Below are 16077 nucleotides of genomic sequence, written 5' to 3' on the forward strand. Positions count from 1 at the left end.
GAGTACACTGAACAAACGAGACAGGGTCATTTATAACCTGACATGTCCACCCTACTGCCGTGTCCAGTTTCAATTGGCTGGAACAGGACCTCACATTTTGTATTTGTCCCGATTGGCTAGCAACTTAGAACTTTTTAAAAGAGGCAAAGGCAGAGGAGAACAAAGGAAGAAGGAAGTAACTTGTGGAATGCTGAGAAAGGTAAAAACACCTTCAAATAAGGAAGAGGAACAGGCTATGACCTAATGCTTGCTTGGACCAGTATAAGCATGCCAGGGCAAATACTTAAGCTAAATTGTGGGAGCTAAGAACATAAAGTATATTGATTTCTTTATTACAGCTAGCAGATATTTAAGAATGATGGTACAGGTCTTTGAATAAATTTTGCTTTTAAGAGAAGTTACTATTTATTCCTAACTAGATGGGGAGGAAAGTCTTTGAAGACAAACCTCTACTTTACTTTTTACAGACTTCTAGAAATAAATAAAATTACCTTGAAGACCTTAAAATTTATCAAACAGGACATGAAATACAGTAACCATGAAATAAAAAATTGGACTTCATTAGTATTAAGACCTGCTATCCATCAAAAAACATGATTAAGACAGTGGAAAGGCAAGCCACAAAACAGGAGATGTCTGCAATATACGCATCTGACAAAGGACTAATTTCCAGACTATAAAAAGACTCATAAATTAGTAAGAAGAAAACTCAATTTTTTTTATAAAGTCAAAAAAGGCGTATCTCTAAAAAGGATATTCAAGTGGGCAATAGGCACATAGAAATGTAAATTAAAACCACAATGAAATACCATTTCACACCTATGAGAATGGCTAAAATTAAAAAGACTGACAATGCCAATTGCTGACTAGGATGTAGAGCAACTAAACTCATATTGCCAGAGGAAGTATAAGAATGTACAACCACTTTGGGAAAAGATCTGGCAGTTTCTTGAAACACAAAATATACATCTTGTGACATAAGAAACATATATTTGATCTTTGCTGCCCTGATGACCCCCATTACTGGCACAAAAGCGAAAATTCTTGGAATTGCCTGAGTGATAGTATTGAGAGGAGCATCTTTTGTTATTCAAAATAAGCCACTTTCAACCATACTAGAGTTTATGCTAATAAGGTGACTCTTGGAAGATGGGGGCTGGCTGCTAGAGGAACCATGATCCAAATTTTCACTGCCCCCACCACCATCTCCGGGAAAAGGAAAGGGACTGGAGACGGGAGAGGAGCTAGGAATTGAGTTAATCACCAATGCCCAATGATTAATCATTAATTAATCATTAATCATTCCTAGGTAATGTGACCTCCATTAAAAAAAAAAATCTTAAAGGGCAGGGTTCAGAGAACTTCTGGGATGGCAAACATATGCCTCTACCAGGAGGATGGTATACCCCAACTTCACAGAGACAGAAGCTCCTGCACCCAGGACCCTTCTAGACCTTGCCCTACATACCTCTTAGTCTGACTATTCAGTTGTATCCCTTATAATGTTCTTTTTAAAAACCAATAAATGTAAGTAAAGTATTTCCCTGAGTTCTGTGAGCCTTTACAGCAAATTACTGAACATGAGCAGGTGATCATGAGACCCCTCAAGTTATAACCAAAAGTACCCTGGCAACTTAGGACTTGTGACTGGCACCTTAAGTGGGGGCAGTCTTTTGGTTAATTTAAGGGATCTCACTAGCTCCAGGTAAATACAGTCAGAATTGAATTGAACTACAGGACACCCAGTTGGTGTCTGCAAATAACTGAAGAATTGCTTTGGTGTGGAAACAAAAAACATTTGGAGTCAGGAATGATGTTAGCGTATAGAAAAATAGTTTGTTCCTTTACATTTACTCTATCTCAGCAATCCACTACTAAGTATACCCAAGAGAAAAAAGATGTCCTCACAAAGATCTGAATACAAATGCTCACCCAAGTTTTATTCATAATAGCCAAACGCAGGAAACAGCCTAAACATCCATCAGTAGAATTGGTAAACAGTTATATACTCATATAATGCAATGCTACTAAGCAATAAAAAGGAATGAACTGATACAACAAGAATGAATCTAAGATAAGTCAAACATAATAGAGTGCATACAGTATGTGCATCTTGTATGATTCCATCTTATATGAAATTCCAGAACATATTTAACTAATCTATAGTTATAGAAGGCAGGTTATTTAGGGCTGGGGCAGAGAAATGACTGAAAAGGGGAACAGGGAAGTTTTTTGGGGTGACGGAAATGTTCCATATCTTGATAGCAGTAGTGGTTATGTGAGTATATATATTTCTCAAAACTCAAACAGTACACTTAAAATGAGTGGATTTTATTGAATGTAAACCATAATAAAGCTGATTAAATAAAAAACAGAAACCACAATACAGATACTACCACGCACCCATTAGAAGGGTTAAATTTTATTTTATTTATTTTTATTTTTATTTATTTATTTATTTTTTTGAGACAGAGTTTTGCTCTTGTTGCCCAGGCTAGCATGCAATGGCATAATCTCAGCTCACTGCAACCTCCGCCTCCTGGCTTCAAGCAATTCTCCTGCCTCACTCAGCCTTCCACCAAGTAGCTGGGATTACAGGAATGCACCACCACCCAGCTAATTTTGTATTTTTAGTAGATACGGGGTTACATCTTGTTGGTCAGGCTGGTCTCAAACTCCTGACCTCAGGCAATCCACTCCTAAAGTGCTGGGATTACAGGTGTGAGCCACCACGCCCAGCCAGAAGGGCTAAATTTTAAAGGACTAAAAATACCAAGTGATGGCTAGAATGCTCTACATTAGAGATGGAACCAACTGGAGTACAGACATTTAGAAGACAGTTTAGCAGTGTGGTGTTATGACACATACATACTGGTTTTCATCCAATGCAGCAAAACTCCCACAGCCCTTGTTACAGTGTTTTGTTATAATGTTAGGTAAGTTAGGCCTCAGGAAACGGAATCTCGGTGACCTTCTCCAGCCCTCCTTTGACCTGACCCGAGGCACGACTCTAATCTTTAAGATCCTCTGCAGAGAGGGTCCTGCCTTATACCCCAGGGGAAGGCATGCCGATGTCATGAAGCTTCCATAAAAACCTAAGATGTGAGCAGTGGCTCATTCCTGTAATCCCACCACTTTGGGAGGCCAAGGCAGGTGGATCAGTTGAGCCCAGGAGTTTGAGACCAGCCTGGGAAACATGGAACACCTGGTCTATACAAAAAAATGAAAAATTAACCGAGTGCACACCTGTGATCCAAGCTACTCAGGAGACTGAGGCAGGATTGCTTAAGCCCGAAAGGTCAAGGCTGTGGTGAGCTGTTTGTGCCGCTACACTCCAGCCTAGGCAACAGAGCAAGACCGTCTCAAAAACAAAACAAAACAAAAAAACCAAGAGGACAGGGTTCTAGACAGATGAACAGGTGGAGGTTCCTGGAGGGTGGCACACTCACAGAGGGCATGGAAGCTCTGCCCCATACCTCACCCTACACATCTCTTCATCTATATCCTTTGTAATAATATCCTTTATGATAAACTGGTAAATGTTACCTGTTTCCCTGAATTCTGTGAGCCTTTCCAGCAAATTAATTGAACCCACAGTATGGGTAGCGGGAACCCCAACTTGAAGCAAGTTGGTCAGAAGGACAAAAGCCCAGGCTTGCCACTGGTATGTGGGGTAGGGGGGCAATCTCGGGGACCAAGCCCTCAATCTGTGGGATCGGACACTATCTCTAGGTAGATTGTGTCGGAATTGAATTGGGGAACACACAGCTGGTGCCCGCTGCAGAACTGATTGCTCACTAGTGGTGGAGAGAAACCCACTCCCACACATTTGGTCACAGAAGCCTTCTTCTGTGTTCATGACTGCTGTTGTACTGGTTTGAGAGCAGAGGAAAAACATGGTTTGAGAGTTTTTCCCAAAACAAGCAGTATCTATTAAAGCTAAATATATGCCTACCCCCATTACCCAGTAATTCTGTTGGGTTCTCATACCCAAGAGAAACAAGTGCTCATGTCTACCTTAGAATTGCTGTCCACAGTAGCAGACAAAAATTAGAAGCAACTCACGTATTCATCAATAACAGCCAAGTACTCAGCAACCCAAGCATTTCATCAACCAAGTAAAACAAACAAACTGAATATTTACAATGGAATAATGCATAGAAAAAAAAAAACTACAGCCACACATAATAAAACGGATGAATTTTACAGACATAATAATAATGAGTGGGGGAACAAAACCACAAGAGTATATACTCTATAATCCTATTTACATAAATTTCAAAAACAGACATAACTAGCCTACAGTGAAAGAGGTCAGAAAAGGCCTTTAAGAAGAGAGTTCATTGACTGGATGAGCTACAGGCAAGAGGAAGCCTTGAAATGCTCTGGAAAAGGTCTATAATTTGATCTAGGTAGTGGTTACACGATGTGCTGTGCACACATGTAAAAATTCATTGAGCTGTACACTTAAAACATGTATTCTTTAATGTAAGTTATACACAATAAAACATACCTATACAAATGCTCTTTTAACCAATCTCTGTTTATCCTCCAAAGCCGGAAGCTTATTACACAGTAGCCAGGCATGGCTTGTCAGTCAATCTCACTTCTAGTCTACCCATTTACATGTACTTCATGTCTATCTCCCTCAGCATGTGTGGGCTGGAGGTAATACTAAATATCCAGAATAATGGCACCGGTAATGGAACTAGATAAAGTCATGCTCCAATCAGGGAGAATTTCTGACAAAATAGTTATAAACAGTCTAGATGATCATAATATGGTATAATTTTAAGTGTGGGGGAAAGGACCTTATGAATTCACTATCCTTTTAACTTCTAGTAGCGATTGTAGGAAAATTAAATACATGCAGCAAGCTCCTTAAAAATAAGTATATAGCTTTCCAATCTTGTTTAAAAATTTAGCTCCATAATTATAAGGAAAATTATAGAAAAAAAGAATCGCACTATAAATATTTACTTTATGCACAATTTTCAAAAATAAAGGCAGGTCGAAGTTACATTTTTTGCAGAAGCATGTTATTTGCATATTATAAAACTAAGCTTTACGGTGACGACATGCCTAAAACTATTACTACTGCCTTCCAAAATTAACCAACAGGTTATAAAAACAAGCAGTTAACTTTCAGACACTGATTTATGAAGGCAAAGCTTTTCAGAAACAGGACTCTCTTAATAGTCTGATTTACATTCATATCAATACAAACACACATATACGCACAGCTATCAACACAGTCATCCACTCTACATCTAAAATGTCTCATTTCCTCCTCTTCATACCATCTGTTACTATCTCATCTTTCCTTCCCTGGGACATTCCAACAGTAAATGAATCAGTCCCCCTGCTCCAATTTGCCCTGCTCTAAAGCATCCTCTAATCTGACAACTGGAGTGATCTTTGTAAACCACAGATCTTGCTCTAATGTTCACAGTCACCTCCCTTCTCAACCACATCCACCACCCTCATACCTCCTCCAATCTAGGCAGGGATCACACGCTCAAAAACTTACATGTGGCTCACACCTGTAACCCCAACAGCTCAGGAGGCCTGGGCAGGAAGATTGCTTGAGGCCAGGAGTTTGAGACCAGCCTGGGCAACAGTGAGACCCAGTATCTAAAAAAAATTATAAAAATAGACCAGATGCAGTGGCTCACACCTATAATCCTAACACTTCAGGAGGTTGAGAGATAAGGATCATTTGAAGCCAGTTCAAGACCAGCCTGTGCAACACAGCAAGACTTCGTCTCTACAAAAAAAAAATTAAAAAATTAAAAAATTAGCTGGGCATGGTGGCATGCTGCTGTAGTCCCAGCTACTTGGAGGCTGAGGTGGGAGGATGGCTTGAGCCCAGGAATTAGAGGCTGCAGTAAGCTATGACTGCACCTCTGCACCACTTCAGTCTGGGGAACAGAGCAAGAAGACCCTGTACCGAAAAATAAAATATGATTTTAAAACTTAGCCAGACATGGTGGCATGCACCAGCAGTCCCAACTACTTGGGAGGCTAAGGCAGGAAAATAGCTTACGTCCAGGAGGTCAAGGCTGCAATGAGCCATGATCACACCACTGTACTCCAGCCTGGGTGGCAGAACAAGATTCTGACCCAAAAAAATAAAAATTAAAAATGTATATGACCAATTAGATAAAGTGAAATTGGTCTCATAGGAGTTACGTACAGGAAAGTACAAGCTCTGACTCAAAAGGACAGCTACTACTGAGCTCCAATTTTCAAACAAAACCACAAATTAGTGTTTTCATATGAAATGTCCCAATTTTTAAAATCTGGCCAGGAGCGGTGGCTCACATCTATAATACCAGCACTTTGGGAGGCCAAGGCAGGTGGATCACTTGAGGCCAGGAGTTTGAGACCAGCCTGGCCAACATGGTGAAACCCCATCTCTACTAAAAATACAAAAATTAGCCGGGCATGGTGGTATGCACCTGTAGTTGCAGCTACTCAGAAGGCTGAGGCCTAAGAATCACTTGAACCTGGGAGGTGGAGGTTGCAGTGAGATCACACCATTGTACTCCAGCCTGGGTGACAGAGTGAGACTCTGTCTCAAAAACAAATAATAAATAAATAAATAAAATCCGTGTGGACCAGGCCAGGTGTGGTGGCTCACCCCTGTAATCCCAACACTTTGGGAGGCCAAGGAGGATGGATCATCTGAGGTCAGGAGTTCAAGACCAGCCTGGCCAACATGGCAAAGCCCCATCTCTGCTAAAAATACAAAAATTAGCCAGGCATGGTGGTGTGCGCCTGTAGTCCCAGCTACTTAGGAGGCTGAGATAGGAGAATCGCTTGAACCTAGGAAGTAAGGGTTGCAGTGAGCCGAGATGGCGCCACCGCACTCCAGCCTGGGCAACAGAGTGAGACTCCGTCTCAAAAAAAAAAGAAAAAAAAAATCCGTGTGGACCACATAAAATATGTTTGTGAAGCTCTACCTATCCACAGGTTATTAGCTTGCATCTTATGACATAAAGCAGGGATCCCCAACCCCAGGCTGTGGACTGGTATCAGTCTGTGACCTATTAAGAACTGGGCCTCACAGCAGGAGATGAGCAGGAGGCAAAGCTTTATCTGTATTTACAGCTGTCCCCTAACACTCGCATTACCACCTGAGCTCTGCCTCCTGTCAGATGATCAGCCCAGGCATTAGATTCTCACAGAAGCAGGAACCCTACTGTGAACTGCGCATGTGAGGGATCTACGTTGCATGCTCTTTAAGAGAATCCAGCTAATGCCTGATGTCTAAGGTGGAACAGTTCCATCCCCACTCCCCGTGCCTGGTCTGTGGAAAAACTGTCTTCTAGGAAACTGGTCCCTGGTGCCAAAAAGGTTGGAGACCAATGACCTAACGGGATAAAGTTCAAGATTTAGTTATAACCTGCCTTTTCAAATTCATCACCCATACTCCCTTCCACACAAGCAATACTCCGGCAATACACAGAATTACTTACTTGTCTCCCAGATAGACAACAAACACCACTGTCTGCAAACCGTTGTTCACTTGGTTCCCTTTGCTATGAAGCTCCACTATCCCAATACATCCATGTTTACGTCTAACTTCTGCTCGAGCCTCAAAGGGTAAGTTTTTTTGGGTTTTTTTTGTTTGTTTGTTTTTTTGAGGCGGAGTGCCACTCTACTGCCCAGGCTGGAGTGCAGTGGCACAATCTCAGCTCACTGCAACCTCCACCTCCCGGGTTCAAGCGATTCTCTTTGCCTCAGCCTCCCGAGCAGCTGGGATTACAGGCACCCACTACCATGCCCAGCTACTTTTTTTGTATTTTTAGTGAGACGGGGTTTCGCCATGTTGGTCAGTCTGGTCTCAAACTCCTGACCTCAGGTAATCCGCCCACCTCAGCCTCCCACAGTGCTGGGATTACGGGCGTGAGCTACCGCGCCCGGCCAAGGGTAAGTTTTTAAAATATCCCTTATGAAATTTCCTTCCTTTTCTAACTCCTACAACACTGTTTGTCTACTTCCCGTGATCCTTACAAGTTTTCACACTATGGTATACTTTTTTATGTAAAAGACTACAAGCTTCTGGAAGCAAGGTATGCATTTGATTCTGTTCTGTATTCCCCAAACAATACCTAGAACAGAGTACATGCTCAATAATGAATGGATGAAACTATTTATCTGCCTATTTAAGTAACAATGTGTATCTCAATTTGATGGGGCCATGATACCGACAAGGTCCCTTAGATTTGGAAAATTAAAAGGCTAACAGAGTCAGAAAAAAGTCTCTCTAATATTACATCTGAATCAGAAATAACATGAACTCACGGTTCTTTTTAAACATATTTCTTAGTTCTGTCCACTGAAAGGGTCTAGAAGCAATGACAACCCATGGCAATGATTTTAGTTTCTAAATACCATTCCTTACTAAAAAGAACCAGAGCCTTGGAGAAATGGCTGATTCCTGATCACCTTATGGAAATATAAGGTGAGTCTGGGACATCTTGTTGTGCCAAAAAAGCCAAGGGAAAACAAACAAACAAACAAAAAAAACAGTGATGGGGTCATGTCAAAATGAAACAGGAGGAGCTACCTAGAAAAAGTTATCAGTAGCCAAACCTGAGACAATCTGAGCATTAGCAAAGACTGTAATTGATTGTTAACACTGAATAAATAAAAGTCCAGGAGAGTATGGTGATATAAAAAAGGAAGGAAGAAAAATGGGGGCAGCCTGTGGGAGTGGCAATTTAAAAACTACAATTCTGGCACGGTGGCTCACGCCTGTAATCGTAGCACTTTGGGAGGCCAAGGCAGGCAGATCACTTGAGGTCAGGAGTTTGAGACCAGTCTGGCCAACATAGCAAAATCCTGTCTCTAATAAAAATACAAAAATTAGCCAGGCATGGTGGCAGGTGCCTGTAATCCCAGTTACTCAGGAGGCTGAGGCAGGAGAATTGCTTGAATCCAGGAGGCAGAGGCTGCAGTGAGCTGAGATCACGCCACTGCACTCCAGCCCGGGCAACAGAGCGAGACTCCACCTCAATAAATAAATAAATATATACATACACACATACATTCATACTACAATTTTGGCCCAGCATGGTGGCTCACGCCTGTAATCCCAGCACTTTGGGAGGCCGAGGTGGGCGAATCTCCTGAGGTCAGGAGTTCAAGACCAGCCTGGCCAACATGGCAAAACCCTGTCTCTACTAAAAATATGAAAATTAGCCGGGCGTGGTGGTATGCACCTGTAGTTCCAGCTACTCAGGAGGCTGAGGCAGGAGAATCACTTGAACCCAGGAGGTGGAGGTTGCAGTGAACTGAAATTGCACCACTGCACTCCAGCCTGGGCAACAGAGTGAGACTCTGTTTAAAATAATAAAATAAAAAATCTACAATTTTGCAACCCCTATTGTAATAACCGATTTCAGGATCAGGATAATGAAACCAATGAGTGAAAGGCTGTAATGAAACAGGGTATTTACAAGGTGCCAAAATAGTGTCCCATAGATTCCTCTCTAATAGCAGAAGAGAAAATTTTACCTTCATTATGGAGAGATCTGGCTGCGCCAAGGAATCAAAGTTAGCATTGCTCATAACGGGATAACCCGTCATTAAGTGCCTCCTGATATGACTCAATGTGAACTGCACTTCACCTATGATGAAGCATTCTCGTCAAAATGTTTAACCTGGATGCATCTCAATTAACTTCCAGTTTACAGGAAGTAGAGGAGCTAGAGAAACCAGTTAAATGACACCACGAGGAAATAATGAATGCACAAGGTTACACATCCTACAAGACAACCAGAGCTGGTCTCTTCAAACAAGTTAATGCAGGCAAAGGAAGGAAAAGGGTAAAGGAACTGTTCTTAAAAAAGAGTACAAGAAACATAACCAAATACAAAGGATGTACTTTGTTTGGATCCTGTTTTGTCGGTTTGTTTGTTTTAAAGAAGTGAGAGTGGTATCAAAGACATTCTTGAGACAATTAGGAAAATTTAGATTTAATTGATGCTTGATATTATATTATGGAATTACTTTAATTTTCTTAGATGTGAAAACAGTATTGTGGTTACACATGCATAAAGTATATGTGATTATATATAATGTGGTTGTATACACGGAGATATGGTTGTGTGTATGCATGTAATGGTTTGAGACAAAGAGAGAGAAACTATCCTTATTTTAGGAGATACATGCTGAAAACTTAGGGGTTAAGTATTATGATGTTTGCAACTTACTTTCAAATTTTTAACAACAAAAAAGGGAGGTAGGGAGGAAGGAAAAGACAGAGTAAGAGAGGGAAGGAGAAAAGGAGAGAAATGGGAAGGAGGGAAGAAGGGGAAAGAGGAAGAGAAGGGAGGGGGGTAGCAGAGAAATGACTCAAATATGACAAAATGTTAACAATTGTTGAATCTAGGTCAAGAGAGTATATAAATGTTATACTTTTTTACCTCAACTCTTAGATGTATATGATATTTTTCATAATAAAAAGTTAATGGAGGAAAAAGAGAAGAACAATTTAAAAAGCAAACAGTTTAAAATTCATGTAATACCATGAGACTGTCAGGAAATAAGAGCACTGTTACTCAAGATCTGTGAGAGTATAAATTGCTGCAATGTGACTGGAGGGCAATGTGGCAATGTCTATCAGATTTATAAAAGCACCTAGTCAGTATGCCCAAGATCCTGTCCTGAAGATACCTTCCATATGCACAGTTCTTCTTTATAGCATTAACTGTAACAGCAAAAGACTAGAAATCATCTACACATGCATCAGTCCAAACTGGTTACCCAAATTATGGCATATTTGTACAATAAATCAGCATGTATCTTTTAAATTAAATTATCTCCTCAAAAAATATGACAGCTCTTTGGGAACTGATATGAAAGATAACTGAGTCATATTTTACTTAAAAAAAGGTGCAAAAATAATGTGTACAGGATACACGTATGTATAGAAAGGTTACACAAGAATGTAGTTGGGTGGCTAGAAGGAATGAGAAACTTTTTTTTTTCGCTGGTTACTCCCTTTTGCACTTTTTGAGTCTTGCTCTATTGCCTGGGCTGGAGTACAATGACACAATCTTGACTCACTGCAACCCCCCACCTCCTGGGTTCAAGCGATTCTCCTACCTCAGCCTCCCAAGTAGCTGGGATTACAGGCGCATGCCACCACGCTTGGCTAATTTTCGTATTTTTAGTAGAGACGGGGTTTCATCATGTTGGTCAGGCTGGTCTTGAACTCCTAACCTCAGGTGATCCACCTGCCTCAGCCTCCCAAAGTGCTGGGATTAAAGGAGTGAGCCATGGCACCCAGCCCCTTTTGTACCTTAATTTTGTATCACAGATATAGTAATTCATTCAAAAAATTTGTCGAGTATTGATTGACTGTAGCTATAATGAACTCTTCATGTCTCCATGCTTTCACTATCAAAACTTAGTTACAGTGGAGTCGCAGGAGGCCTAGGAATTAGGGTCTGAAGTGAATATGTAAGGTGAAAATAGCATACGACAAAAATATGCCTCAAAAATCCCTTAAGGATATGCCATACTTGAGACCAACACAGCATCTCAATAATTCTAACACCACTAATTTTTACTCCAGCATTGGAACAGTTCACAGTTTCTTCAACTGACTAGCAGATAAAATAGCTGGCTTGTATTTAGGCCTCACGTTGTGATGTTAAAAGTGTGTGTCTTTAAAATACCATAAGCACACATATCACAGCAAGCTAAAACGCACTCAGGACTCAAGACAGACTGAAAGAACAGATTCCCATTTCCCATCTTAACGTTTGATCCACAGTCTTCACTGTTCAGGTTCTGTTTCTCTTATTTTTGTCACCAGATGCATAAAATTTGAGTTTGCATAAATGTACATAAGATACGTTCTCAAAAACACATTTCAAAAATTAAGCAAACTATTACAGTAGAAGAGAAAGTCACAACCCAAATGTTTGCTGACTAGGAGTAAGTAATAGCAGGCTGTAACAAAATTCTCAGGTCAAGATGAAAAGGAGAGGGTGTGGCCGGGAGGTTGGCTCACATCTGTAATCCCAGCACTTTGGGAGGCCGAGGTGGGAGGATCACTTGAGGTCAGGAGTTCCAGACCAGTCTGGCCAACATGGCAAAACCCTATCTCTACTAAAAATACAAAAATTAGCTGGGCGTGGTGGTGCACGCCTGTAGTCCCAGCTACTCGGGAGGCTGAGGTGGGAGAATCACTTGAACCCAGGAGGTGGAGGTTGCAGTGAGCTGAGATCGCACCACTGCCTTCCAGCCTGGGCAACAGAGTGAGACTCCATCTTAAAAAGAAAAAAAGAAAAAAAAAAAAAAAAGGAGGCCGGATGCGGTGGCTCATGCCTGTAATCCCAGCACTTTTGGAGGCCAAGGCAGGCAGACCACAAGGTCAGCAGTTTCAGACCAGCCTGGCCAACATAGTGAAACCCCGTCTCTACTAAAAATAAAAAAATTAGCCGGGTGGGTTGGCATGTGCCTGTAGTCCCAGCTACCAGGAGGCTGAGGTGGGAGAATCGCTTGAACCCAGGAGGCAGAGGCTGCAGTGAGCCGAGGCCATGCCATGACACTCCAGCCTAGGTGACAGAGTGAGACTCTGTGAAAGAAAAAGAGAGAAAGGGGGAGAGAGAGAGAGAGAGGAAGAACGAAAGAAAGGAAAGAAAGGAAGAAAGAAAAGAGAGAGAAAGAAAGAGAAAGAGAAAAAGAAAAAGAAGGAAAGGAAAGGAAAGGAAGAGAGGAGAGGGTAGTAATAACACCTCTTGGTCAACATGACATATGATCTCAGGTTCTGACCTTAGCTGTAGCCCATTCCTTTATGTTGCCATTCCCATACACCAATACATACATTCTTCAGTCTATACTCTGAGTAATCATGTAACTGTACTAAAGTCTAGTCAGCTACCACTGCACCTAAAAACTCCCCAATATTTCTCTCTAACCCTGCCCTCTCTAATGAACTCCAGGCCAATATTCCTACTAGATACTTCTCTTCTTAGACAATCCATCCATAGGCAACTCAAATTCACCATAACCCAAACTGAACTCACTTTAATATAAAGAGGCCACAAGGAAGCAAGGAAAATTCAACTGTTTTCTCAGAGTTGAAAATGAACACAAAATGGATTACAGCAGTGATAAAGGAACCTTAAGGAAAACAAAGGGCTTCCCAAACCTGTAAGTCAAGTGTGCATTCAAGCTGAATGTACTAATCTGTCTAAAAACAAATGCCTTAATCATAAAAGGATCTGGGAAGCAAAAGCAAGCAGAAGAGGTGAACGAAGAGGCTTTACCACAGGGAAAAACCACCATCCCTAAAAGTAAGCTGAATGAGGGTGTCTCAGTCCCAGGCCAACAGACGTCTTACTTCCCTGATGGAGTCTTCCTATATGAAGAGAATATTCCAGTCATTTGGCTTGAGTCTTCAGGTCTCTCTGACTTGTTTGAAAAAATTAAACTAGCATATTAATTAGGACCTAGTAAGTAAATCTGCCTATCAAAAAACAATATACTCTGGGTGTGGTGGCTCACACCTGTAATCCCAGCACTATGGAAGGCCCAGGCGGGTGGATCACAAGGTCAAGAGATCGAGACCATCCTGGCCAACAATGGTAAAACCCCCTCTCTACTAAAAATACAAAAATCAGCTGGGTGTGGTGATGCGTGCCTGTAGTCCCAACTACTCAGAAGGCTGAGGCAGGAGAATCGATTGAACCTGAGAGGCGGAGGTTGCAGTGAGCCACGATCGCGCCACTGCACTCCAGCCTGGTGACAGAGCGAAGACTCTGTCTCAAAAAAAAAGAAAAGAAAAGAATATACTAATCATGCCAACACACATATCACTGTAAATTAATAAATTAAAATTTAGGTTTTACACATCAGTCTTGTAAAGTTGGTTAATGTTGGTCCAACCCTGGGATAAGGGGATGTCTAGGCATGCTGAGCAGATCAAATTTCTGTGAGTGTTAAACCAAGGACCAGATCTAGGATGATGGTAAATTATAAATCTCCACATGTAGCTATTTAAATGTCAATTTAATTAAAATTAAAAATTCAGTTACTTTGAGCCACACTTCAAACCTCTACCATATTGAACAGTGCAGACACTGAACATTTCAATCATTGCAGAAAGTTCTATGGGACAGCACTGTACTAAAAGGTAACCTCAAACTAACCTATTCCAAGTTGCCTTAGGAAACAGCCTGACAGCCCGAGATGGCTAATGCAGAACCTGAGAGCTAGACTGTTTTCTACAGAAGGTAAGAAATATATAAAACTGTTTCCTTTTGCAATGATTTCTTGAAATCAGAATATATAGTTTTAGTCTTTAGGATTTCTGCCCCTTTATCACTGGATGATACTCTAATCTACAGGTAATATAGAACAGAGGTAAGAAGCACATTCTCTGAAGCCAGACTGCCTGGGTTCATATCTCACCTTTGTCCCTTACAAGATGTGTGACCTAAAGCATGTTATTTAACCACTCTACCCTTTAGTTTCCTCACCAGTAGGGGGGAAATAATGGTACCTACCTCATTAGGTTACTACAGGTTGAATATCCCTAATCCAAAAATACAAAATCCAAAGTGCTCCAAAATCCAAAACGTTTTGAGTGCCAACGTGATGCTCAAAAGAAATGCTCATTGAAACTTTTCAGATTTCAGATTTTAGATTAGGAATGCTGAATCAGTATACAGCAAATATTTGAAAATCTGAAAAAAATTCAAAATTCTCAACACTTCTGATCCCAAGCATTTTAGACAAGGGATACTCAACCTGTATAAGGATAAAAAAAAGTTTATATGTATAAAATATCTAGAATCATGCTCAATAAAGAATAAGTACCCAGTATTAACTATTACTTCTACTACTAGTACCATTACTACCACCACCACCACCACCACCACCAGACTGTCCTGACTATCCTTCAGAAGACAAAGTGAAAAATGGCTCACACCTGTAATCCCAACACTTCAGGAGGCCGAGTCAGGCAGATTACTTGAGGCCCGGAGTTTGAGACCAGCCTGGCCAACATGGCGAAACCCCATCCCTACTAAAAATACAAAAATTAGCTGGGCATGGTGGCACGCACCTGTAATCCCAGCTACTTAGGCAGCTGAGATACCAGAATCACTTGAACCTGGGAGGCAAAGGTTGCAGTGAGCCACAATCTCACCAGAGGAGAAATATTAGCAAATGTGAAAGTATTAAATTAAAACAAGGATCACGAAGTCAGAATGTCCGTCTACAATAAAAAGAAAATTTTTTTAAGATGAAAGGGAGTAGGATGTTCTCCAGAAAGAATATTAAATACCGAAAAAAGTCATGTTTTCAAGAATGTTGCCTGACAATGCCTTACTTGTAAGGATGACAAACCACAGGCCAAAAGAAGTCTACATAATGAACTACTGAGCTATTTAAATAATAAATACTGAGGAGGAACTGAGAAGATATAGGTTTGAGTTCACTGGACCAAATGATACTTCCCTGTATAAAGCACATCTTGATATTTAAATGCATTGTCTCTCCTATACTCCCTAAATTACCTTTACATTCACTTGATGAACTGACTGAAGATCTGATTTTTCAGTAAGCAAGCATTTAATCATATTAAATGGGCTGGGCGCGGTGGCATTTAATCACATTAAATGGGCCAGGCGTGATGGCTCACGCCTGTAATCCCAGCACTTTGGGAGGCTGAGGTGGGCGGATCACAAGGTCAGGAGATCGAGACCATCCTGGCTAACACGGTGAAACCCCATCTCTACTAAAAATACAAAAAAATTAGCTGGGCGTGGTGGTGGGCGCCTGTAGTCCCAGCTACTTGGGAAGCTGAGGCAGGAGAATGGCATGAACCAGGGGGCGGAGCTTGCAATGAGTGGAGATCGCGCCACTGCACTCCAGCCTGGGCGACAGAGCGAGACTCCGCCTCAAAAAAAAAAAATCATATTAAATTATTAAAATACCATGCCAAACAATGACCCACCATGTGTTCTTTGAGTGGAAACGTGTTGTAGAAAATCACACCTTGCTCTTGCAGACAGGCAATTTGAAAATCTAAAGGTTAAAGTACAAACT

General features: G+C 41.2%; 1 protein-coding gene across 11 annotated transcripts in view, besides 3 other annotated features; it reads right to left on the bottom strand.

Moving 5' to 3' along the window:
• The window catches only part of FBXW11 (F-box and WD repeat domain containing 11), a 145090-nt gene that overhangs the window by 118273 nt on the left and 10740 nt on the right, over positions 1 to 16077 (bottom strand). The window lies entirely within an intron of this gene.
• Positions 583 to 1151: an enhancer, noted in NCBI's record as "OCT4-NANOG-H3K27ac hESC enhancer chr5:171407408-171407976 (GRCh37/hg19 assembly coordinates)". NCBI's record gives its function as "activates a minimal SCP1, AML or CMV promoter by ChIP-STARR-seq in naive H9 embryonic stem cells {active_cell/tissue: H9 hESC(naive)}" and the evidence as "EXISTENCE:reporter gene assay evidence [ECO:0000049][PMID:30033119]".
• Positions 3362 to 4134: an enhancer, noted in NCBI's record as "H3K27ac hESC enhancer chr5:171410187-171410959 (GRCh37/hg19 assembly coordinates)". NCBI's record gives its function as "activates a minimal SCP1, AML or CMV promoter by ChIP-STARR-seq in primed H9 embryonic stem cells {active_cell/tissue: H9 hESC(primed)}" and the evidence as "EXISTENCE:reporter gene assay evidence [ECO:0000049][PMID:30033119]".
• Positions 9680 to 9819: a silencer, noted in NCBI's record as "silent region_16613". NCBI's record gives its function as "represses an Ori minimal core promoter by ATAC-STARR-seq in GM12878 lymphoblastoid cells {active_cell/tissue: GM12878}" and the evidence as "EXISTENCE:reporter gene assay evidence [ECO:0000049][PMID:35858748]".

This window comes from Homo sapiens, chromosome 5 (genome assembly GCF_000001405.40).
Source record: "Homo sapiens chromosome 5, GRCh38.p14 Primary Assembly".
Lineage (NCBI taxonomy): Eukaryota > Metazoa > Chordata > Mammalia > Primates > Hominidae > Homo > Homo sapiens.